The 25,906-nt window shown below is 34.8% G+C and overlaps 1 protein-coding gene across 6 annotated transcripts in view; it reads right to left on the bottom strand.

Annotated features, from left to right (window-relative positions):
• MNAT1 (MNAT1 component of CDK activating kinase) overlaps window positions 1-25,906 on the bottom strand; it is a 235,205-nt gene that overhangs the window by 145,152 nt on the left and 64,147 nt on the right. For 3 of the 6 annotated variants that reach the window (NM_002431.4, XM_005267688.4, XM_017021332.3), the window contains 3 exons: window positions 16,386-16,489; window positions 12,687-12,827; window positions 5,967-6,092 (listed from right to left, as the gene is read on the bottom strand). In NM_002431.4, coding sequence (NP_002422.1) covers window positions 5,967-6,092; window positions 12,687-12,827; window positions 16,386-16,489 — 371 coding nt within the window. Of the gene's footprint in view, window positions 1-5,966; window positions 6,093-12,686; window positions 12,828-16,385; window positions 16,490-24,772; window positions 25,403-25,422; window positions 25,556-25,906 lie in introns of those variants that run through there. The other 3 variants (XM_047431413.1, XM_017021334.3, NM_001177963.2) reach the window with 3 other exon arrangements.

Below are 25,906 nucleotides of genomic sequence, written 5' to 3'. Positions count from 1 at the left end.
AACAAACATTAATGGTAACATTATGGTTGCTAATTATTACTATTTACCACATGGCTAGCATACATTGGGCACCAGCTTTAGCATTTTATGTATAGATTTCAATATTCTAAACAATCATATGAAGTTAACATTTCTCATCTTCCCAAATGAGAAAACAAACTCAGAAGAGTAAAGCAATATCTTACCCATGGAAACATATCTAATAACGGTAAATCTGGGATTTAATCCTGTTATGCCCATTTTCTTTCTTCTATACTTTATTGCCTCCTAATTCAAATACTTTGGTAGTTCCTTATTGAGTAGTATTTGTCTTTACATTATTTCAAGATGTGTTAATACTTCCAACATTTGAAAGTTTGAAACTGATCATGAATATCTGATATTATTTAAGTACCTACATAGCCACAATCATATAAAACTATGTTAAAATATGAAGCCTCTGCCCTCAAGATGTTTATAACCTAATAGCTAGTACACATATGACAAACAAGGTAGGCAATTTTAAAATTCAAAGAAAGTAGCTGGATGGGCAGTTGGGGAGAAAAATGAATAGATACATAAAAGGAAAAGAAAAATATTCATATATTACAAATCAAAGCTTGGCATTTTTATATTTATCACAATCTCATAAGAATGGTGATTTATTATTTTTTTTTTGAGATGGAGTCTCACTCTGTCGCCCAGGCTGGAGTGCTGTGGCTTGAGCTCAGCTTACTGCAACCTCTGCCGCCCTGGTTCAAGCGATTCTTCTGCCTCAGCCTCCCAAATAGCTGGAATTACAGGTTCCTGCCACCGTGCCCAGCTAATTTTTGTATTTTTAGTACAGATAGGGTTTCACCATCTTGGCCACACTGGTCTTCAACTCCTGATCTCGTGATCCACCCGCCTCACCCTCCCAAAGTGCTGGGATTACAGGCATGAGCCACCGCGCCCAGCCTTGTTTATGTTTTTGTTTGAAATGGAGTGTCACTTTGTTGCCCAGGCTAGGGTGCAGTGGCACAATCTCAGCTCACTGCAACCTCTGCCGCCCTAGTTCAAGCAATTCTCCTGCCTCAGTCTCCCAAGTAGCTGGGATTACAAGCGCCTGCCACCAAGCCTGGCTAATGTTTGTATTTTTAGTAGAGATGGGGTTTTGCCATGTTGCCCAGGCTGGTCTCAAACTCCTGACCTCAGGTGATCCGCCCACCTCAGCCTCCCAAAGTGCTGGGATTATAGGCGTGAGCCACCATGCCCAGCCCACAAGTACAGTGATTTCTTAGATATAAAAGGTAATGATGCAAGAAAGAAAATTAAAGGTAATAGAAGTCTTAAATACCACTCAGAGAAAGACATTCAGAAGAACATAAAGGCAATGTAAAGATAGAAATTTTTTTTCCTCTCCAAATCTATATGCCTTGCAGCAGAATGTTAAACATTATTACAAACAAACTCAGGGTAAGATACCCCTTCAGGCAAAAAGAAAATCTGTGCAACACATTCCCCCTCCCCAATCCCCACTCAAAAGTAATCAGATAAACAGAGAGCACTGCTGCTAACAAGCTCTCACAGAATTCAGGGATAGCTAAAGGGAGAGTACTCCAAGTAGTGAGTTTTCAGTTTTAGAATTTGATCCCTTTGTCAGTCTTCAAGGTTGTTGACCTTAAAGCCAGGGTGTAAGACCCACCTCTTCATCCAATACTTTAAAAGGCAGAGTAGAGGGAGGTTTATTAAATTTGCTCCAAGATGAGCTGAGATTGAAACTTCTTTCATCATTAAAAGTGTGCTCCTCAGCCGGGCACAGTGTAATCCCAACACTCTGGGAGGCCAAGGCAGGCAGGTGGCTTGAGCTCAGGAGTTCCAGACCGGCCTGGGCAACATGGTGAAACCCCATTGCTACCAAAATTACAAAAAATAGCCGGGTGTGGTGGCACACACCTGTAGTCCCAGCTACTGGGGAGGATGAGGTGGGAGAATCGCTTGAGCCCAGGGGACAGAGGTTGCAGGGAGTCCAGATTGTGTCACTGCACTCCAGCCTGGTCGACAGACCAAGACTCCATCTCAAAAACAAAATAAAAAATAAAGTAGGCTCCCGCCTGAGCACACTGGCTCACACCTGTAATCCTAGCACTTTCGAAGGCTGAGGCGTTCCAAGATTGCTTGAGACCAGGAATTCAAGACCAGCCTGGCCAACATAACTATACCCTGCCTCCTCTCCAAAAAAAAAAAAAAAAATTCTTAAAAACTAGCCCAGAGTGGTGGTGTGAGCCTGTAAACCCAGTTACTTGGGAGGCTGCAATAGGAGGATGGCTTGAGCCCAGAAGTAGGCTACAGTGAGCTAGGATCTCACCACTGCACTCCAGCTTGAAGTAACAGAACAAGATCCTGTCTCTAAAAATAAATTTAAAATAAATAAATAATTTAAAAAGTATGCTGCTGAAGCAACTTTGCCACAATGGATATATTTCCTAATCTCCTCAAGGAAATACATTGCAGAGTATTTTGTTCATATCATGTTCAGGTTAGCAGATTTATTAATCAGTGATCTTCAAAAACTTTTACATCTCGCCATTCCAATTCATTTCATTTTTAAATAAATAGAACATTACGAAACACAGAAAGACCACCAGCAACTATTCTGTCTAGGTGAAAAAAGGTTGTAGATCTGATGCTGCCTCTCTTTAGGCCAAAGAAAAGCACTAAGACTATCTAAGAGGGCTAGCCAGGTTATATAAATTTCAAAACATACCACAGGTAAAAATTAAAAGATAAGAACACAGAAGAAGAGAAATACATAATTTGTAATTCTCATTGGTAATGGAATGTAAAAATATGATAGAGTGATGGAAATTTAGATATATCTATAAAAACAATTTTTTTATTTTGGCTGTACATTGCATCAAATTCTTCTTGACCCAAATGTGAATCTCCCAATGGCAAAGCAAAATGCTCTGAAGTTAAGAAAAATGAGAATAATTTATTCAAAAAAATTTTTTGAATAATTACATAGTACAATATTTAGTCCCCACAAGAACACATAAAGTTATGCCACAGAACACATTGTGTCCTTAAGGAAGCTCATCTAAAATGAGACCGGCATGGAAAATAGCCAATTGCAATACAAGGCAGGAGCTACAATATATAATAAAAGTACATATAAAATGTTAGGGGAAGCATCAGAATATGCAATTAAATTCCACACAAAAGAGGGTTCATGAAAATCACACTTGATCGATGCATAAATTATAAGTAAAGTTTTCATAAGCAGTTAAGTATATTCCAAACAGAGTAAACACCATAAAGTCACAGAAACTTGAAAGTACTTCAGGATCTTCATTCTATTAAATGTGAGCCTAATATGTAAGATTCAGTCATTCATTTAAAAATATTTAATGAAGGTCCACAGTGAACATTCATTAAATAGGTACTAGAGACAAACATCATTCTAGGTACACAGAATTTATATTCCAGTGGTAAAGATAAACATTAAACAGTGTACCCATAAGACACTTTCTGATAGTGATATATGTTATAAAGGGTTAAAAAGCATAACATGGGCCAGGCGTGGTAGCCCATGCCTGTAATCCTAACACTTTTGGAGGCCAAGGCAGGAGGATCACTTGAGCTCAGGAGTTTGAGGCCAGCCTGGGCAACATAGTGAGACCCTGTCTCTATATTAAAATTTTAAAAAGCATAACATAATGTGGATGGGGGCAGGAGAAAGATACTTTAGATAGAATAGTCAAACGGTCAGTGTGAATTGAGCATAAGGAGCAAGGCAGAGTAGGGAAAGTATTCTCTTAACAGTATCTTTTGTCTGTTTCTAGAAAATGCTGTTTCTTACCTTAGGCCTTCTTTACTGCTCTTTTCTCTGCCTGTATTTTTGCATGGCTAACTCCATTTTACCATTGACTTCTTAGTACAAATGTCACTTTCTCAGAGGTGAGAAAGTAGATAATATTCTGAATTTTATTCTAAGTGTACTGGGAAGACATAGGAAGATAGTAAGCAAGGAGGTGATGAGCTGATTTGTTTAATATTGTTTATTTACCATCATTCATTTATTTAGGAAACCACCCAAAGGCTTATAGACTAGATTATGGGGTACACAGATGAATAGAGACACCAGGTGGAATGTTACTGTGATAGTCCACTAAAGAAATGATGGCAATTATCCTAGGATGATAAGAGGTGGAGAGAAGTGGGTAAATTCAAGATAAATTTTAAAAGTAGAGCCAACTTAATACCGAAGTATCTAGATTTTCAAATTCTATAGTCAGCAACTGAAAAAAAAAAAAAAAGTTGCAAAAGACTTAAGATGAGTTCTTGTATCTTCTACTTAGACTGTAAGCCAGATCTTATTTTAATATTATATATACTATAAAAGGAAGAGAACTAGAAAATAGGAGCAGCTGCTACACATTTGCTAAAGTGGAAGCAACAGTAAAATTAAATATGACTTTATCCATTGAGGTCAAAGGAAAGAAACGGTCCTTTGCCTCTTAAAATTAGAGTATTATCTCTAATTTAAAATATACTTTGATAATGTTTTGAGGCATTCGTTCTTGCATACTCATCATGCTCAATTTACAATAGGGGATACATTCCTGAGGCTTGTAGCTACATTGTGTCATCTGAATACTAGACTTTATTCTTGAAAATTACTGAGTTTACTGGTCTTTTACCAGTAAACTCCCACCACTTCAATATTGCATGTCATTAACACTGACTTTGAAATGCAGGCATATAATGATAAAAGCCAAACAAAGATTCTGCAACCTCCATCATCTTGAATTTTAAAACTATGTATAAAAATGAATTTTATGTATATAAAAACTAGGTAAAGATTTAGGGAATTAGTATAGCCATTTGTGTTATCAACTCGTTATTATCAATAAAAACTAACCTCAATTATTGAGAGCTTACAATAAGCCAAGTACTATACTGTGTACTTTGTTCACATTATTTCCCAACACGTTTATGAGATCAGTATTATCATCACCGTTCCACAGATGGGAAAAAAAGGCTTATTGGAAAGGCAAAGTAATTTGTTCATGTCAAGCAGCTGGATAAATGGGTTGTTGAGAGTTGAACTCAGGTCTGTTTGGATTCAAAGTCCAAATCCGTAACCATGACTTTGTAGTGCTGCCACAACTTTTTTAAAACCAGTTTTTAATTGATACAGAGTAGTTGCATATATTTTGTGGTACTTTTGATACCTGTATGCATACAATATGTAATAACCAAAACAGGGTAATTGAGATATCCATCACCTCAAACATTTATCTTTTCTAACCACATTTTATACTACTCTAATGAGACTATTTTAAAAGATAATTAGGAATTTGAATGCTACATATTTAGAGTGGCTACATCTCAAACATCTAAATATTAAACACATGTTAAAGTTAATATGCCAAAGTATATATTTTCTAAACAAAAAAAAAAACCTGTAAAAGTATACAAAAACATCATTGGCTTATAAAATCTTTCCCTTGAATGCTAAAATAAACAATAAAATATAACAATACAATATAAAATAAATTTTTTGAAACCCAAATTAATCTATTCATCAGTCTAGAAACTAAAAATGGCTTTCAGAGTTTTTAAAAATATATATGTGAAGAAGACTGTTTAGAAGAAAACACTAATTGATACATTTGCTTTCCCATTTCATATCTGCAGATGGTAACTACTCTCCAAACAATATTTATAAATTTTTTTCTACACTACAAGCTTAAAAATGTAAGTAGAGTAAGAAAGTCATACAAACCCAATTCACATACAAAAAAATTGTGTTGTATACTCTGAAAATTATTTGTTTCACTTTCCTCATACTGCACCCATCCATATTTCCAGACACCTAAAACTAGATCAGACACTGTTCTTAAACATCTGAACATTTCGGTTTACTATAGAAATCGTGTAAAATTATAAAGCATAATCCTTGAAAAAATATCTTTCAAACAAGCAATTAAAATAAGGCTTACCATTTTGATGCCTGTGGAAAACGTCACTGGTTTTACAGGTTTGGGTTTCTCAAGTTGCATTTCTAATTGGGTAGATCTATCTTTATGCTGAGCCAAAAGCAGAGCAACAGGGAGATCAGAACTCTCCTGTAAGAATAGTTCAAGTTCAATAAGAAATGTAAAAAGGGAAAACTAAAAACAACAAGACTTTTATTTTAAATTATGTCTTTTCCATAAGCATTTCATGTCAAACTAAATATTCACATTATGGAGGACACTTTACAAAAAATATTAACATTCCATAATAAGAAAAGGCTGTTGTAGATTCATAAATCAAAATAACCTGCAAACAAGTATTTTTATAAAATCCACATTAAAAGTTCCTATTTCAACTAGCAAACCAACCACATTTATTAAAACGAAAAAAATAAGCTAATCACAAAAAGAGTAGTACAAAGTACTATAACTTAGATCAGATGTTTATCTAAGACGCATTCTTTTTACCAGTAAATTTAGACCAGTTTGAAATTGTTTCCCATTAGATTTCACCTGAGACCGTTTGGAAATGATCCTTGTTCTATTTTGCACAATGAAACTATTGTAAGTACAACCAAAAGTATATTTATTTTCTCCTTTACTAACTTACTTTTAAAATTTAAGTCTATGTTTTCTAACTTAAGTAACAAAATGACAGTTAAACATTTTAATATATTAATTATAAGCACTCAGACACATTTTAATACCATAAGCAAATTACTAATTTTTATATGTAGACTGTTATTTATTCTGTTTAACAAGAAGTCCTCTTACATCTTTAAAGTGCTGTGGAGTTAAGGTCTAAACTAAATGATATCCAGACATTTTCCTTTCTGAGTTTTCAGTTAAATAAGAATCCAAAAACATATGCAGAAGGACGTACCAGGAGGAAGAAGAGATCTCTCTCTCTCTTTCCTACACACACAAACAAACACACACACACAAACACACAAGCAGAGAGAGAGATTGAGAATTTTCTGTATCATAAACAGAGATGAAGGTCAAATACATTTTTATCTCCTATACCAGGATAATGTGCTAAAACATATTGTTCAAAGAGGCTATAGATGTTAAAATAGTGACTACACAGAATTTGATCCTGAAGAAACTCTATTGTTAACATTTCACAGCACAAAGCAAACATACAGATTTTAATTTTCTTTCCAAATCTAGCAACTTAATAATTTTTTAGGCACAAATGTGGTTAATTAACAGACTTAAAGGAATTGGTTTAAGGTTACAGTATAGAAATAACTCAAATAAGCAACTTAATTCAATAGAATTGTCCTAGAATAAAGTTGCACATCAAGATTTTATAATAGAAGTGTTTTGCAAGAGCAATGTTACAAAGTTTAAAACTTTTAATAGTAAATGGAAGAACACAAATTTTATTTATTTATAAGATGTAAACTTATTAAGGAGCAAAATCATTAAGACCTGGCTTTAACAATAATGAAGGAAAAGTGATGAAATATAGTACGAGGAGAATATACTAGAATACCTTTTATATTCTACACCAAAGCATTAGTAATGCATGAGTAACTGTATTGCTAAGATTCCTTGCAGCTATTCTAGATTTACATTAAGAATTTTATAATAAAATATAAAATTAAAGAACATTTTTAATGGGCTGTGATCAAAAAAATATCTTTTAAAAGCTATTCTATCTTTTCACATGTAGAAACTAACAAAAGAAAAATAAATTTCCTTAGCTAAAAAGTTAAAAGTATTGCTTTTCAATTTATACTCTAAATCAATTCAAGTGCTCTTCTTTAACTGGTATTTCCTTTAAAAAGCAAAAATTCTTACATAAAAGCAACGTATTAACTTCAAAAAAAAAGTTGCTAGTCAAGACTTTAGCTTGTTTTAATCCTGGTTTCACATTCACATAAAAGGAACTGAATGTTAAAGTGTCTTGGTAAACAGCTGAAATCTAATAAAAACAAACATTCTAAGGATCTAAAACACTTTTGATATTGAAGCACAGAATTTAGTTCCAACCTACTTTATTCTATTTTAGCACTCAAATTTTGAAGCCTGGAAGCCTTACTAAGTGTTAAACTAGAATTAAGTAGGAGTTCCAACAACAAAAAATATTAATGGAGTAAAATAAACTATGTGAAACATGCATGCTCTGGGGAATATCTAACATGCAGATTTAGCCTTTCAAGTTATTTCATTCTTTGCATTACATTTTACCTTAAAAGGTTCCCTAACCTGTATTAATTGCCTGAAGGCACACTGTTTAATATTTAAAGAAATTTTAGTAAGAACTGCCTGTAATACTCATTAAAAGCTTTATAATGACCATTTTTAAAAGATTATTTTAACTGACTTTAAGCAAGCCATCTGGCAAACAATATTTCTAATAAAAATCACCTACTGCGTTTGACAACAATATTAGCCCATACAAAATTTAAGACATAAACTGAAGCGAATTTTCAAACAGGAATATAAAAAGATTTAATAAGCCAGGACCTGTTTAAAAATCTTTTTCCAAACTTTTTTAAAATTGAATTTACAGTTAGGATTAAATAAATGGACCTTTTAGCCAACATTACTGCAAATACTAAGCCATAAACATTAAGACCATAACATTAAAATCCCGTCACATACAGTATAATATAATGCAAATACTTTTTAAAAGGTTAAAAAGTGACTTTTGGCACAAAGACCAGAACCAAAAACAGGAGGAAAAAAATTCTAATAAGTAGTACTTGTGTAAATTAGGTCCAGAGATTAATTATAAGAATTAAGCTTCTAGACATATTTACAAATGCTATTGTTTTTTAAACAAAATCTCACACATGAACATATACAGAAAAAGAAATACGTTCTTTTACTTAGTTAATAAGGATTCAAGAGGATAAAAATAAATTTAATGAATTCATTAGTCATAAAAATTTAAAGTATTTTAACATTTATAACATTGTATAAAGACTGAAAAATAAACATAACAAAATCTAAAAATAAGTTTAAAAATGAAAACCAGAAATTCAAACTGCAGTGGTATTCTAAACCAATCTGTTGTAATTAATTGCACTAATGAATACAGTAAATTACTAAGAATTATTTAATCATCATGTTATATGATCTAAACACTGAGGAAAGTATGTGCAGTAATGACTTGCAGGTGAAGAAAACAGGAAGTGGGAGAAAGAACTCACAAAAATCAATATTAACTCCAGATTACACACAATGTACAACAATGGTAGTTTCACATCTTGCTTCATGCCTCACTGAATCAAAGGGGAGCTTCATGTCAATAGCAGCTCAATGAGGCAGCAAAACAGTACTTTAAAGACTAAAAGAATATGCGGCTGGGCGCGGTGGCTCACACCAGTAACCCCAGCACTTTGGGAGGCCAAGGCGGGTGGATCACAAGGTCAGTAGTTCATGACCAGCCTGGCCAAGATGGTGAAACCCCATCTCTACCAAAAATACAAAAAAATTAGCTGGGCATGGTGGCAGGCACCTGTAATCCTAGCTACTCGGGAGGCTAAGGCAAAGAATTGCTTGAACCAGGGAGGCAGAGGTTGCAGTGAGCCAAGATCACGCCACTGCACTCCAGCTGGGGCACAGAGCAAGACTCCATCTCAAAAAAAAAAAGGGAAAAAGAATATGCAAGAATAATTGTTATGCAAAGCTGGCTAACCTCAAAATAAAATCTAAAAACTTTTTTTATTAGATGGAACATAAAATGTTAAAAGCATATTTTCTATCAAAGTTCTATATTTGGGATTAATTCAATTAATTATATAGAAGAGAAGCATTATCCAAAAAAGAGCCTGTAACTCTTTGTATAAAATGATAAGGGGAAGAATCTTTCAATAAAACAATTATAATTAGTAACTATATACTAATAATTAGTAACATCAATTTACTAATTCATTTTTAAAGTTTTTAATTTCTCACCAAACAGCTACAAAAATATAAAATACAACATGTCATTTCACTGTTAAAGCCATACCTGCCACTTAATAGTTTCAAGAAAGAACTAATGAAAGTTGCTAGGGAAGGCGTCATTATTCTATTTAATATGCTGGTGTCCTCATTTTTAGAGCCAAATTCACATTCCAGTCATAGAAAATAGAGTTTTATGACAGTGTTTTCTATCTAAGCCTCATGAATGCCCTTACCCTTATTTTTCCTTTAGTTTCTCACCTCCTTATAATTTAAGTAATCTTGCTTTCTCTTTTTTTACTCCTGGTTAACTGACTTAAATGCTTTTTTGGCAAAAGCACAGTAGAAGAACACATATATACATATTTTCCCCAATCATAGGATAATAGCATTATCAACTAGACAAGAAAGTTAAGTGTATTAACACTGCATACACACACACACACACAAACACAAAAGCCTCAGGGAAATAAATTATATGAACATAAAGGGAAAGAGAAGAATGCAAAAAGACTTTCCTGGAGAGGAAGATTTTCCGGTTTGTGAAGTCATCAATATCATACAGGGTTATAAGTATCAAATAATATAGTAATAAATCCATGAAACACTTCATAAACCTTAGTTATTATTACTGTCATTATCTAACAAGGTTGACTACCTAGGAAGCTAATTGCTGGAAAACAATAATTTGCAAAAACCCCGCTATTTCTTTCAAGCAAAAATACACTATTTTTTTATGCAAAAATATAAAATATATTGTCACAAAGTAAACAGTCAATATAAACTTCAGCATGGAGCCAAAATGAGCTCATTATTAGAAAAATAGTATTAATCAGGAGAAAAGTGCTTCAGAAACAATGTATTTTAGTCAGTTAGCTTAAAGCCATATAAACAATCTATCAAGAATATACTGGCTCATCTCAGTTATAATGTCACTCTCTCATCTGAAAATAAAATGGATATTAAACAAAAATCTTTTTAAAAATATAGAAGTAAAATATACTAGAACCTCATTTTAACATCGTTCTTAGAGTTACACAAAGTAAGTAGTGCCATGTCCACAAACAATACTCTTATCTAGGAAATCACTTTAAATCCTTCATAGTAGTTGGCATGATATAAATAAATAGGCATAAGGGTAAGACAAACTACAATATGAAAATGAAAGTCATTTTCATAATTCTTATCACTAAACTCACATTGGGATAGAGACTGAGTATCCCAAATGAATTTATATTATGCCAAATTCTAGAAAAACATAGTTTTCCCCAGTACATACTGTGTGGACTAAAGATGGCCATCACACTCCCATTAGGAGGTGAGATCTATATCCATTCCCTTTGTAACTGAGTGGGCTCTTTTACTAATATGGTGGAATCAGTGCTGTGCCAGTTTCCTAGCCCAAGCCCTAAAATGTTAGCATCTTCTACCTCCTTATTCTTGGGATATTCTCTCTTGTAACCCTGAGCCAACATGTGAGAAGTACAATCACACTGTTACAGAAATTGATGCAGTTTCTGATGTAGTCAGCCCCTTCACTAGATTCACGGTAAGGACTCCCCTCTACTAGACCCACTGCACTCAACTCTATGTGGGAGGGAGCACGTGGGTGAGTCAGCGCAGATCTAGCCAGCTGCTCCAAGCACCAATACAGGAACAAGTTTTGCATGGGGCCCGCAGTCAGACCAGACACAAGCAAGCAAGTGCAGGACCCAGCCATCCGCCCCAGGCACGGACACAGAAGCAAACTCTACGTGGGGCCCACAGCCAGACCAGGCATGTTGCCTCAAGGGGAACATGGCAGTGCCCAGGTGAGGGGGCCCACAACCCCAAAGCCCCAGGGGAAGTGTTACAGTGCTCCTTTAGTTCTGCCATCAGACAACAGTGTGTTGGCAGCTCAGTTGGCTTCTGGCCTTGTCACCTAGGGCAGCTGCTCTCCACCAGGAAGGGCAAAGTGCCAGTGTGACAGCCTTTCTGGGTACCCACACTTGGTGGGTCCCAAGCTCTTGTCTGGCATCCAAGAAGAATGAGGTCACAGGGATGGTTAAAAGATGGCGAAGGTGATAATTTTATTGAGCGATGAAAACAGCTCTTAGCAGAGAGGGGAGCTGGAGAGGGGACAGGAAGAGCAAGTCGTCTTCCCCGAAGTCAGGTTGTCTCTTCCTCTACTTACTGAGTCTGGGGTCTTTATAGGCACAGGATGAGGAGAATGTGCTGAATTAGCTTATGAGTAAGCAAAAAAGGTTGAAGTGAAGACACTACTCAAAGATGGGCATGACAGTGTAGAAAACCAATTAGGAAAGGGTAGATATACATAAAATAGGTGAAGAGTGGGGATCAATCAGAGGAAAGCACACCAAACAGGAGGACAAGTTCTCAATCTGGTCCAAGGATTTAACTTGTAGCTTGGCTTTCAGGTTTTAAACTGTCTTCAACATGGAGATGGGGTTTCTCTGGGTACCCGTCCCTATCTGCCTAGGCATTTGGCTGCCTCCTGTCGCTATCAAAACCACATGGAGAGGTGTCCTGAGAATACATTAGGGAAGCAGAAAAGCCCAAAAGAACCACTTAAATTCCTAACCCACAGAATTGTGAGCATAAAAACATATTGTTCAGTGTGGATGGAGGGCAACCTCTTATTCAGCAATAAATACACTGATATCAATACATAACCAACAAAACTAAAGGTGAACCAGATTACAAACACTGTGGAAAAGCCCTTTAAATGCCATCATCCAGCCTACTAGGAAAGGTAAATCCTGAAGAATGTTTTTTACAATCACAATTAGCATTAATACATACCAGCTCATCTAAAAAAGCCTGCTTATTCTTCCTTTTTAGAATCTGCTGCAGTTGTTCTTCTTTTTGTATAAATAATCTTCTTTGTTCATTTTCCTGTCGTTCCACTTCTAAAGCTTCTTCCAGTTCTTCCTGTTCTCGAGTCTAAAACAAAAATTTATATATGGCGTGGAATAAATTTAGGAGCCAAGAGCAATCATATACCACACTCTAATACTTTCTTTATTGGAAGCATAAAACACACTAGTCACTTATTATTTAATAATGTAGCAATTCCATATTGAAGAAAATAGAATTTACTTTATTTCATGTAGACACGTTACTATTAAATAAAACAACTATTCTGTTATACCATACTAGTGGAATTTTGCTATACTAAGGCCACTGGGAACATATTAAGGGAATTTGAGGGATGAGTTTAGAAAGATGACTAGAGGCAGTAAGGTATACATAAAGATCAATTGGGTTCAAGACTGACAATAGGAGGACTAGTTAGAAGTATATTCAAATAACCCAGATAAGAAATAAGAGCCCTACGCAGCGGCTCACACCTGTAATCCCAGCACTTTGGGAGGCCACGGCGGGTGGATCACAAGGTCAGGAGTTCGAGACCAGCTTGGCCAACATGGTGAAACCCTGTCTCTACTAAAGATACAAAAAATTAGTCAGGCATGGTGGCACATGCCTGTAATCCCAGCTACTCGGGAGGCTGAGGCAGGAGAATCGCTTGAACCCAGGAAATGAAGGTTGCAGTGAGCCAAGTTCACACCATTACACTCCAGCCTGGGCAACAGGGCGAGGTTCCATCTCAAAAAAAAAAAAAAAAAAAAAAGAAAGAATAGAAATAAGAGCCCTAAATAAAGTAATAATCTAATTAGAGTGGGGATGAGGCTTAAAAATGATAAGGAGTGATCATCAACAGAATATAAAGACTGACCAAATATGGATTGAACACTTGGATGAATGCTGGCACCATTCACTGAAACAAAGAGCATAATAAGAGACAAAATAGACTTTAATTAAAAAACTGTCAAAAGAGACAAAGAACATTATATAATGATAAAAGGATCAACATATAGAAAGATATAACAATTATAAACAACTAAATATGTAAAGCAAACATTGACAACTGAAGGGAGAGATAGACAGCAATATAGTAACAGTAGGAGACTTAACTCACATTCAGTAATGGATGGAACTTTCAGAAAGAAGATCAGTAAGGAAATAGGAGTCTTAAACAACTTTATAATTCTGTATATTTCTGTTATAACAACTAACAGAAATATACAGAACATTCTACTCAACAGCAGCGGAATACACGATCTTCCCAAGCACACACAGAACTTTCTACAGGATAGGTCACAAGTTAGGTCACAAAACAAGTCTTAACAAATTTAAGAAGACTGAAATCATACCAAGTATCTTTCCTGACCACAATGGAATAAAACCAGGAATCAATAGCAGAAGGAAAACTGGAAAATTCACAAATATGCACATATGTGAAAATTAAACAATACACTCAAATAATCATTGGGTCAAAGAAGAAATCAAAAAGGAAATTAGAAAATACCTCAGGACAAACAAAAACAAAAACATAGCATACCAAAACTTGAGGGATACAAAAAAGCAGTACTAAGAAGGAAGTTTCTTGTGATAAACACCTACTTTAAAAGAGAAGAAAGATCTCAAATAACAACCTGGCTTTACATCTCAAGGAGCTAGAAATTTAATAACAAACTGAGCTCAAAGTAAGCAGAACAAAGGATTAAAATAAATAACAAACATTAGAGCAAAAATAAATGAAATAGAAAACAGAAAAAGAACAGAAAAAATTAACAAAATTAAGTTTTTTCAAAATATAAAATTGACAAACTCTTTGCAAGACTATGAAAGAGAGAGAAGACTCAAAATCAGAAATGAAAGAGGAGACATTACAACTGATGCCACAGAAATAAAAGGATCATAAGAGACTACTATGAACAATTATACACCAACACTTAATTATATTACGCTTCAGTTAATCTAGAAGAAATGGACAAATTCCTAGAAACATACAACCTACCAAGACCAAATTATGAAGAAACAGGAAATCTGAAAAGACCTAGAACTAGTATGGACACTGAATCAGTAATCACACCTCCTAACAGAGAAAAAGCGGCAGTGGTGAATTCTGCCAAACATTTAAAGAAGAATTAATATCAATCCTTCTCAAACCTTTCTAAAAAATTGAAGAGGGAGACACTTCCAAACTCATTTTATGAAGCCAGCATTATTACCCTGATACTAAAACCAGACAAAGGTACCACAAGGAAAGAAAACTGTGAGCCAATATCCCTGATGAACAAAAATGCAAAAATTCTCAACAAAATACTTATAAACTGAATCCAACTGCACATTAAAAGGATCATACAACATAACCAAGCAGGAATTATCCTTGGGATGGAAAGATGGTTTGACATACAAAATCAATTAATATACATTAACAAAATAAAGAATTAAAATCACATAATCATATCAATACATGCAGGAAAAGGCTTTGATAAAATGTAACGCCCTTTCATGATAAAAGTGGTGGCTCACATCTGTAATACCAACACCTGGGGTTAATGAAACATTTTACCTACGCATACCTATTTTGCATGTATCTTCTGATGTTCCCAGAGAAGGTTACTAGGCAAAGAGAGTAACATTAATGACATACTGATGCTCTCAGAAATAAGATACTTTTAAAAGAAAGCTAGGCTAGCTATGAATGGAATGAAAATGTAGTATCAATTCATTGAGAGTTTTACAGCAGGAAAGAAATGCTGATATAAAACACTATAAGACTACAAGGAGGAAGTCTCTTCTAAATACAAAATGAAAATATAAGCTATGTGATCCAAATATACTTGTATCCTTTTCACTGATTATTACAAAATCCTGATAAAGTATCTCAAACGTAATTACCTCTGCTTTCCCCTACAACTAGAAAGCCAAACTGTACTATAGAAATGATAGCTAAAGTGTATAAATTAGACAATTGCTCCTTTGCATGCATACAATTTTTTCTTTATAGAATACATTCTAATACATATAATAATAATGACTCCTGAGATATTTTCAAAACAAACTTCAACATGAGATCAACTAAAACAAACCAAAATCATATTTATATCTAGCAATGTTACTCTTTCGGTAAAACAAAAAAGGTAACTAATTGAGAAACCAAAGTTAACCTTAGTTTACAAATGTGTTCCTCTGATCTAATCATGAATTCATTTTAGTTTCTAATAAATAGTGTTTTTGTTTTATCTCCCTCTTGGTAGCTCCATCACCGTCTGTCTGGGTTTTCTCTCTCCTTTAGAGAAATTAATGTCCAAGGATAAAAATGAGCCTCCAGTGTTTTGTGACCACTGTCCAAATGCTCACTTACCAGAAGATTATACAGGCAGATAAAACTAGCGTTAACAATCACCTATCTTACGGATCCACTTCCTTAAGAAAGCACAGTCTAACATAATGCTGTCAAAGTGGTTTTTGCTACAGTAATGTGTGCCTGCCTACCTACATACCTATACAGCATATATTCATATTTCTGGTCTAAATTTCAGCTAAATTTTCTATAAATGTAACTGGTTTAAAGGAAGATGGCTTTTTAAAGTATCATGTGGAAACATTTGTTTCTAAGACAAAATAAGAAGAAAATACTTAGCAACCGACCAGCTTTAATTTATTTTTCTGAATAACATCTTTGTTTTCCTTTTGGTATATCTCCATTTTCTTTTTGGTGTTGTCCAAATCCACATTGTTGGTCAAGTTGAAAACTGCATTAGAAAGGAAACGATGACATGAAAAATATTTTTAATATAAATCTTGAGTAGACAATAAAAAACAAATACCACAGTGACTCATTTGTTAGGTTGTCATTCTTTATAGCTCTATTTGTGACCTTTTAATCAGCTACCTATTTTAGAGACTAGCTCTAGTTACGGCAAACATGTTTTCCAAGCCAAACACAAGGACAGACTGTCTGACTCGCACAAAATACCTAAATGTCAGGATCACTCCAGAAAACCTAAGATATGTGCTTAGATCTGATTTTTATAGTCCCCTCTCTAGCTTTAAAAGCATAAAAAAATTGTTTAAATTTTTTTAATATAAAGAGTAAGTCTGGAATCTACTACAAGAATCAGAATTTTAAAAAAAGAGTTAAAAAATCATATATTTTTATAATTTATATCAAACAAAAAACAGGTTTTATCCCCATTCCAATTGTCTCCAACATGAGTAGACACAGGCTTGAATTACTTCCCTTGTAGTCTAGCTCTAGAAACGTATGAAATAAAGGAGTTGGAACTTAAGAAGAAAAATAAAGGATAAACTGGCACCAAAACTTAAAGTAAAAGAATTTCTTAAGAGAACCACTGAGACATGTTTAGATACTACTAAATTTTCTGTAAATTACAACTCTCTTTTTATAATTCCAACTCAAAATAATTTGAATTATGAATGCCATATTCCCTTCTAATTTTCCATATGTAAATCAAAGTTACTATAATACTCTGAACAATTAAAAAAAGACCTTCTTGCTATATATAAACTCATATGGAGGAATCCATATCAGTAAGACTCTCCTGTTCCATAATTCAATTCAAGCCTCCTTTAGCTTCCCTTGTAATCTTTCTACATCCATTATTAGCCCTTCCACCCCTTCTCCAATTACTTACCACTGCTTCCTGCTTCTTGCCCTACAAACAAGACGGATCTACCCTAAATAACTCTGCTCTATCCCTTGGGTTTCTACAGATTGCTTCCCCATCTCACTCTTTCCTTTAATAGCTTATAAGAGTTGAAAAGTAACACCGGAGGACCAACACAGAGTTGCTTGTTTTGTTGAGTAAAGCCATCAAACAGACTCAAATGACCAGTTTGATCTATAATTTCATTTTTTTCTTCTCAAAAGGCCAACTTATTTCAGAACATCAATTTATCATAATCACTGTTGAAAATCCAGGCTCATTTAGGTATAAAGGCAAAAGTCTATTCAGTTTTATCATACGCAATTTTAAATCTGGAAGAATTGAGAGAAAATGAGAAGCAATTATCCTCTAGCAACTTCTCCAGTTTTTTAACATAAAGTGGGAAAGAAAATAAGTCAGGGAATCTGGCTAGGATGCAATGTGGGACAATCTTCATAAATCACACTCTAGTCCTGACACAAAACAGTCAGAGGGAGGCTCCAGACAAGCAGCACTCTCAAAAAGTTACCTCTGATCCTTAGTTAAAATGGTGATTCCACTATCTTTACCAACCACTCAAAATCTACCTCTTGTATTTAATAGGCCATCCTCTAAGCAACCAAATCCAATGATCTTTCACAACTCTCACCATCCTCAACATCTACCAGATCCAACCTCAGCCTCCCAAGTAGCTTGGATTACAGACATGCACCACCATGCCTGGCTAATTTTTGTATATTTCAGTAGAGACAGGGCTTCACCATGTTGGCCAGGCTGGTCTTGAACTCCTGGCCTCAAGTGATCCACCCGCGTTGGCCTCCCAAAGTGCTGGGATTACTGGCGTGAGCCACCATGCCCAGCCATTAACCTAGGCTATCTGATTCCAAACCTGAACTTTTATCTACAATGCCTACAAAACTAGTTGTGTCATTTCTCTCAATGCCTGAAAACCACTGCTACCTAGCAGTCCTCTGCATTTGTATGCCCCTACACTTTCCCATTTCCATACCTGTGATTAAACTGTTCCCTACCCATAGGGCTCATCTCAGTACCAACCTCAACCCAGAACAACAGTGAATATCCACATATGACTCACCCTTCTATACCCATTTTAATGACCAGCTCCTCCTTATGAGACACTTTGCAGTTACAATCTCTCCATCCCTGAATGCTTACAATACATTGTCTAATATCGCTCTGCTGGCATTTACCCACTTCCTACCCTGTATAATTATTTTCAATGTGCACATCTTGTCTGACCTATTAGAATGTTCCTTGAGGGCAGTTTCTAGGTCTGATTCATCTTTATTATCACTTCCACTACTTCTAAGGCACTCCTATTAGAATGGCAAAACTCCAATGACAACATAAAATGCTGGTGCAGATCTGGAGCAACAGGGACTCTCATTCCTTGCTGGTGGGAATGTGAAATGGTATAGCCACTTTGGAAGACAGCTTCCTAGTTTCTAACAAAACTAAACATACTCTATCATATAATCTGGCAATCAAGCACCTAGGTATTTATCCAAATGAATTGAAAACACATGTTCACACAAAAACCCACACATGAATGGTAACAGCAGCTTTATTAATCATTGCCAAAACTTGGAAGCAACCAAGACATCCTTCAGCAGATTTAAAAAAATGTAATATTATTCAGCACTAAAAAGAAATCAGCTATAAAGCCAAGACACAGAGGAGCTTTAAATGCATATTGCTAAGTGAAAGAAGCCAATCTGAAAAGGCTACATACTGTATGATTCCAACTATATAACATTCTGGAAAAGTCAAAACTATAAAAACTAAAAAGAACAGTGTTTGTCAGGGGTTGGGGTAGGGAGGAATAAACACACAGAAAAACACAAAGGATTTTTAGGACAGTTAAAATGACTCTGTATGATATAATGGTAGATACACATTATTATACGTTTGTCAAAACTCATAGGGTATACAGCACCAAAAATGAATCCTAGTGTAAACTACAGACTTTGTGTGATAATGATATCTCAATGTAGGTTCATTGATTGTAACAATGTACCACTCTGGTGCAGGATGTTAATAATGGGGGAGGCTGTGCACTGTGCACATGTAGAGGGAAGAGATATATAGGAATTCTCTATACTTTTTGCTCAATTTTGCTGTGAATCTGAAACTTCACTAAAAAAAAGTCTACTTTTAAAAAAAAAGAAAAAAGAAAAAACTTCTCATCTGGTAAGGGCTCAAGAAATACTTGTTGAATTATCATGAGAGAAAAAATAAACTAATACCCAACATTTATAATTACTTTTATAATTATAGATTTAACTAAAATAACCTTTATAATTACTGATTTGAACATGGCAAAGGAGGAAGGTTCAAAAGGACAGGACTAAATTATCTTGGTTTCTTATGGTATGAATCTACTGAAAAGTAAGCGGTCAAATTGATATCCCATGTAGAGCTCTACTAGTATGTTCAAAACAGTTTAAAAAACACTGTTTATTAGCAAACTAGACAGTTTACTACTGATTTTAACTTTTCCATTAAATAGAGCCCAGAAATAGGCAAACTTAAATCCTAAGTGAAATTAATCTGTTTTTATATAAGCAATTTCTTTTATGCTTATCAAAAACTTTATGAGTTCTGGATCACTTGAGGCCAGGAGTTTGAGACCAGCCTGGTCAACATGAGGCCCCATCTCTACCAAAAAAATAAAATTAAAAACTTTTAAAATTAAATTAACCAAGTGTGGTGGTACACACCTGTAGTCCTAGCTACTTGGGAGGTAGAGGCAGGAGGATCATTTGAGCCCAGGAGTTTCAAGCTACAGCGAGCTATGATAGTACCACTGCACTTTAGCCTGGGAGACAGAGTGAGACCCTATCTCTAAAAAATAAATGAATAAATAAAAATTTAAAAAAGAAAACTTTATGAATTCCAAAAAAAGTAAAATAATTTGTTTCAGATTTTAATTTAGAAGCAAAGGTAACAGCAATAATAAATGCAAATCATAATCAGATAATACAAGTCTCTTCCTTTAAAAAGTAAGAAAAGAACCATAAAAGCGAATTACTATTTTAAAAGTTTTCAGATGAAGCAGGTCTCATTCATACCCAATGAATCAGGTTGGTACAATAGCCGTGAAGAAAAAGGAATAGAAGCTAATTTGCTATAACAATCATTTGACCCTTTATCTGTTTACTGGTTTAGCTTAGATGTTGACCTGCCTTTAGTCAAGTATTAAAAGCAAACAAAAAGCCTATTGTATTTTCTGAAAGATTTAATGTTATTCACGTACAATTTTGAAGTCTTTTTGACATCCAGAATTTATAATTAAAGCCCTTAGGACTTTCTCACCCTTTTAAGATAAGTATTCTCTGCACCAAAAGAATAATCTGTTTTGCACCAAAAGAATAATCTGTTCATTATGAAACTAAGAATAAACCTTTGAGATAATCTCTGGAGCCATAAGGAACAAGAATTTTATGTATAGATTGTCATAACCACAGAAAAGAGTCTATTGTTAATGCCATAAGAAAGTCCATCTTCATGTGTGCCCCTTCTATTGAAAATGTTTGATGCTATTATTAAAATTATAATGTTTTCATTTTTATATTCATATTCAAAAGATTCATAATGAAATTTATACAACAAAATTACTTCAATCTCCAATTTATGAATCCTCAAACACTGACCCTCTGAGGCACCCTAATAATTCTAGTTTTCTTACTCCAGATTTAAACGTTTATCTTCAACAGCACCCTTCTACCTATAAGATCGAGTTCAAATGTCTTTAATATCCTTCAAAATATGGCCCCAAACTACTTTTTTTCTCTCATCTCTAATAATTCCATAGAACTCCATGTTCTAGACTCAGAAAGTAAGAAAATCCTATATTTACAATTTGGCTCCATTCTTTACTAGCAATGCAGTCTTGGGCACAATACTTAAGCTCTCTGTGCCTCTTCTCCAGATGCAAAATAGGAATAAAAATGCCTGTCTCTTAGAGTTTCAAAAATTATGAGATAATGTGTGTACAGCTCAGTCTGGTACTTAGTAAATGTCCATTAAATTAACATTTTATACTTCTGATTAACACAAATAATACAGATATCACAGACATCTAACTATCTTTAAAAATATGAATACAACACAAAATAGAAAGCTATTGAAACAAGATTTTTACAGGAAGTTTTCGCTGGGTGCGGTGGCTCACGCCTGTAATCCCAGCACTTTGGGAGGCCAAGGTGGGTGGATCACAAGGTCAGGAGTTCAAGATCAGCCTGGCCAAGATGGTGAAATCCCGTTTCTACTAAAAATACAAAAAAAAAATTAGCCAGGCATGGTGGTGGGCGCCTGTAATCCCAGCTACTCGGGAGGCTGAGGCAGATAATTGCTTAAACCCGGGAGGCGGAGGATGCAGTGAGCCGAGATCGTGCCACTACACTCCAGCCTGGGCGACAGAGCGAAACTCCGTCTCAAAAAAAAAAAAAAAAAAAGTTTTATTTATATGATGACAAACCGAACAATGCCATACAACTAAGTGGTGGAGCCACACTCTAACAAAACTTAAAAGGTCTAAAACTAAAGTTTTCACTTTATCTCTCATTTCTGCAAACGCTTCACCCAACAAAACAAAATAATAGAAAATACTGCCTATTCTCCCGGGTTTACCTGATTAACACCATACAACTGCATGGGGTCAGGTCATAATATTTGAATTTATCTTTGCCTACTCTAACACACTTCCTACATCAAATCAACCACTTGAATATTCTATGTCTAAAATATCCTCTTTATCTATCCCCACTGTGACTATCTACTCCAAGCCCTCATTATTTCTCATCCAAATTACTGTAATGGCCCCTTGAAAAGTCATTTCTCACTCTTTAGTATCTCCTCTTAGCCACAAGATAAAATCTTAACTGACAGCCCAGTTTACAAAGCCCTCTTTTTTTTTCAGTTGACAAATAATAATTGTATATATCTATGGGGTACAATGTGATGTTTTGATATATGTATTCACTGTGGAACTATTTTATCTAATTAATTAACATATCCATCACCTGACATGCTTATTTTTTTGTAGCAAGGACATTGAAAATCTACTCTTTTAGCAATTTTGAAATATACAATACATTATTATTAATTATGGTCACCATGCTGTGCAATAGACCTCAAAAACTTATTCCTCCTGTCTAATTGAAATTTCATATCCTTAGGCAACAAAATAATAAAAAATACTGCCTATTCTCCAATGTTTACCTGATTAACTCCATACAGCTCCCCTTTCCCCACCCACCATCCATCCCACAGCCTCTGGTAGCCACCATTCTACTCTTTACTTCTCTAAGTTCAACTTTTTTAGATTCCAGATATAAGTGAGACCATGCCATATTTGTCTTTCTGTGACTGACTTATTTCACTTAGCATAATGTCCTCCAGGTTGATCCACGTTGTTGCATATTACAGAATTACCTTCTTTTTTAAGGCTGAAGTATTCCATGGTGCATATGTACCACATTTTCTTTATCTATTCATCCAATGATGGACACTTAGGTTGATTCCATATCTTAGCTACTGTGAATAGGGCTATAGGTTATAGACCCAGAAGTGGGATTACTGGATCATATGGTAGTTCTGTTTTTAGTATTTGAGGAACTTCCATACTGTTCTCCAAAATGGCTGTACTAATTCACATTCCCACCAACAGCATACAAGGATTCCCTTTTCTCCATATCCTCATCAACACTTATCTCATCTTTTTGATAATACCCATTCTAACAGATGTGAAATGATATCTCATTGTGATTTTAATTTGCATTTCTCTGATGATTAGTGGTGTTTAGCACATTTTCATATACCATACGTATGTCTTCTTTTGAGAAATGTCTATTCAGGTCCTTTGCCCATTTTCTAATCAAGTATTTTCTTGCTACTGAGTTGACTTCCTTATATATTTTGGAGATTAACCCTTTATCAGATTTCTGGCTTGCAAATATTCTCTCCCACTCTGTAGATTACTTCTTCACTCTGTTGTTTCCTTTGTTGTGAGGAAGTATTTTAGTTTGATACAATCCCATTTGTCTATTTTTGCTTTTGTTGTCTATGGTACTAAGGCCTCCTTAATCCAGCCTGTTTTTCAGGCCCCATTTTTAGTCATCCCTCATGTTTTACCCACCTATAACAGACTACTTGCTCATTCTCCAACATGCTCAACATTTTTCTATCTCGGTGCCTTTTTCTTTTGTTACAAATGTTTTTCCAAGCCCTTTCTATCTGGTTAACTCTTCTTCTTCTTTTAAGATCAAACTCACATGTCATCTCTTCTCTGAATGTCACCAAACCACATCTCTATTTCCCAGTGCTAGGTTAATTGCTTTATCTGTATTCCCATAGCATTTTATAAATGCCTATTTATAAGACTTATCACATTACATTATAGTTATTAGTTAACATAATTATCTCCCCCTTTAGAGTCTGAGCTTATTGAGGGCAAATACCACATATCCCCATCCATAAAGCAGTTCACATAACATAATTTAAAAACTTGCTGAATTGAACTGAAGTTCAGAAAATAAACTATAAATCCAAGAGGTTACTTCCCAAAAATCATCAATATCTTTAAATAGAGTAGAACCACTCTTTAATAAACACAATGAGGATTTATAGTTGAACATTTAAATAAGTTTGTTAAAGGAGAGAAACACACACATACACCTGTCTCTCTCTTCAAATACTTTAACTTAAAACATATATAGGAAGTATATAGTCATTCTCTAACTTAATGACATAGAGCAAATTCTAGATTTTAGAGTTTTGCTTCTTCCTTATATAGGCCATAACTGTCATCTATATTGTTCAGTTTCCTTTTCTGTTTTCTGGTTTTTTGAGACATGGGCATGCTCTGTTGCCTAGGTTGGAGTGCAGTGGCGCAACCATGGTTCACTGTAGCCTTGGACTCCTAGACTTCAGAGATCCACCTCAGCCTCCCAAGTAGCTGGGACTACAAACGTGTGCCACTACACCCAGCTACTTTTTAAAATTTTGGTATAGATCTCATTATGTTGTCCAGGCTGATCTCAAACTCCTGGGCTCAAGCAATCCTCTTGCCTTGGCCTCCCAAAGTGCTGTGATTACAGGCGCGAGTCACTGCACCTGGCCAATTTCCATTTTTTAAGAAGTGACTTAAAAACCTGAGAAACAGAATCCTTCTAGAGTTTTACAATTTTTTCCCCAACCTTACACACTTTAAATATTTAAATTACATATAATATTAAATATGTATTTAATTACATAACTACATAACTACAATAACAAGTACAACTGGCATAAGAAGGTTGATGGCATTCACAATGCATTCATTATGCTGTGGGTATCAGTGAGTACCTTTTATGGAAGAACTGGGGAATGACAGTTACTTCAATGAGACAATTAAGTGGAGGTTGCTTAAGAGAGTTTCCCGATACTGCAACTGAAGACAGTCCTTCATGAATACACATAATAGCAGAATCACTTTCAAATTAAATGGTCTGAGCCACAGCTTCTATATTTTGGTAAAGAAAGCATTACATGTTGTATACCCCCAATATCCAGACTTGCTCTTGCCTATCAATTCTAGTACCAATTATGGGCCCCATGTTGTCCACACCTTCAAATTACTTTATCTTGGAGCAACACACACACACACACATATATATGCAGTGTGTGTGTGTATATATATATATATATTTTTTTAATCATAGCTCAGTCAGAATCTTAATCCCAGAATCAAGATCTCCTTGTAGTTCATCCCCTAAACCTATTCCTCACCTTCTCTGTATATGTTTCTTTTAGTTATCCTGACTGCCTGCTTGTAATTGTGACCATGTATTCAACTTGTACTGCAACACCTATAATTTCCTTTCCCTTTATTGCTTGACCAGACTTTTGACTAATCACATTACCTTTAGAATATATGTAAGCTACTTTTCTTCCCAATTGCTATCCAACAGCTTGTCCTATACTTAGTATCTATATAGAGCCAGATTTCTACATACCTTCATACTTGCCCAGTTCTTGTAGATTTCTTTCTGGTTTTTCTTCTCAGTCTACATTCTAACTTTTCCACTTTGCCTTGTCACTCCCAATTCTACCATCTTTTCAGCTAAAATCCATAGTCACTCATGATTGCTAAGATAACATACAAAGTGCAATGAGTACATGCAGAATGGAAAAGCAGTGGCTCTTATGGCACTGAAAGATCCCAGAGAAACCCTAAATTATGTTTTCCACATGCTTTTGCTATGGCATAACAAATGAACTTAGACATATGAGAAAAGTTTCAGGTAACAGTTGAAACAAAAAGATTTTCTGGATTTTCTAGTAAAGAAATTAAAGGAATTAGAATATTTATTATTCCTCAGGAATCTGAATTGTTAAGTTTATCATATATAAATCTTCTAAAGAATGATCCATTTTATTATAATCTTATTTTTAATAGTAAATATTGAGTACAGTTACCTATTAAGTTTGAAAGAATAA

This window comes from Homo sapiens, chromosome 14 (genome assembly GCF_000001405.40).
Source record: "Homo sapiens chromosome 14, GRCh38.p14 Primary Assembly".
In the NCBI taxonomy this organism is placed as follows: Eukaryota; Metazoa; Chordata; class Mammalia; order Primates; family Hominidae; genus Homo; species Homo sapiens.
Note: the sequence above shows the minus strand (reverse complement) of the source record. Positions and strands in the feature narration are given on the sequence as shown.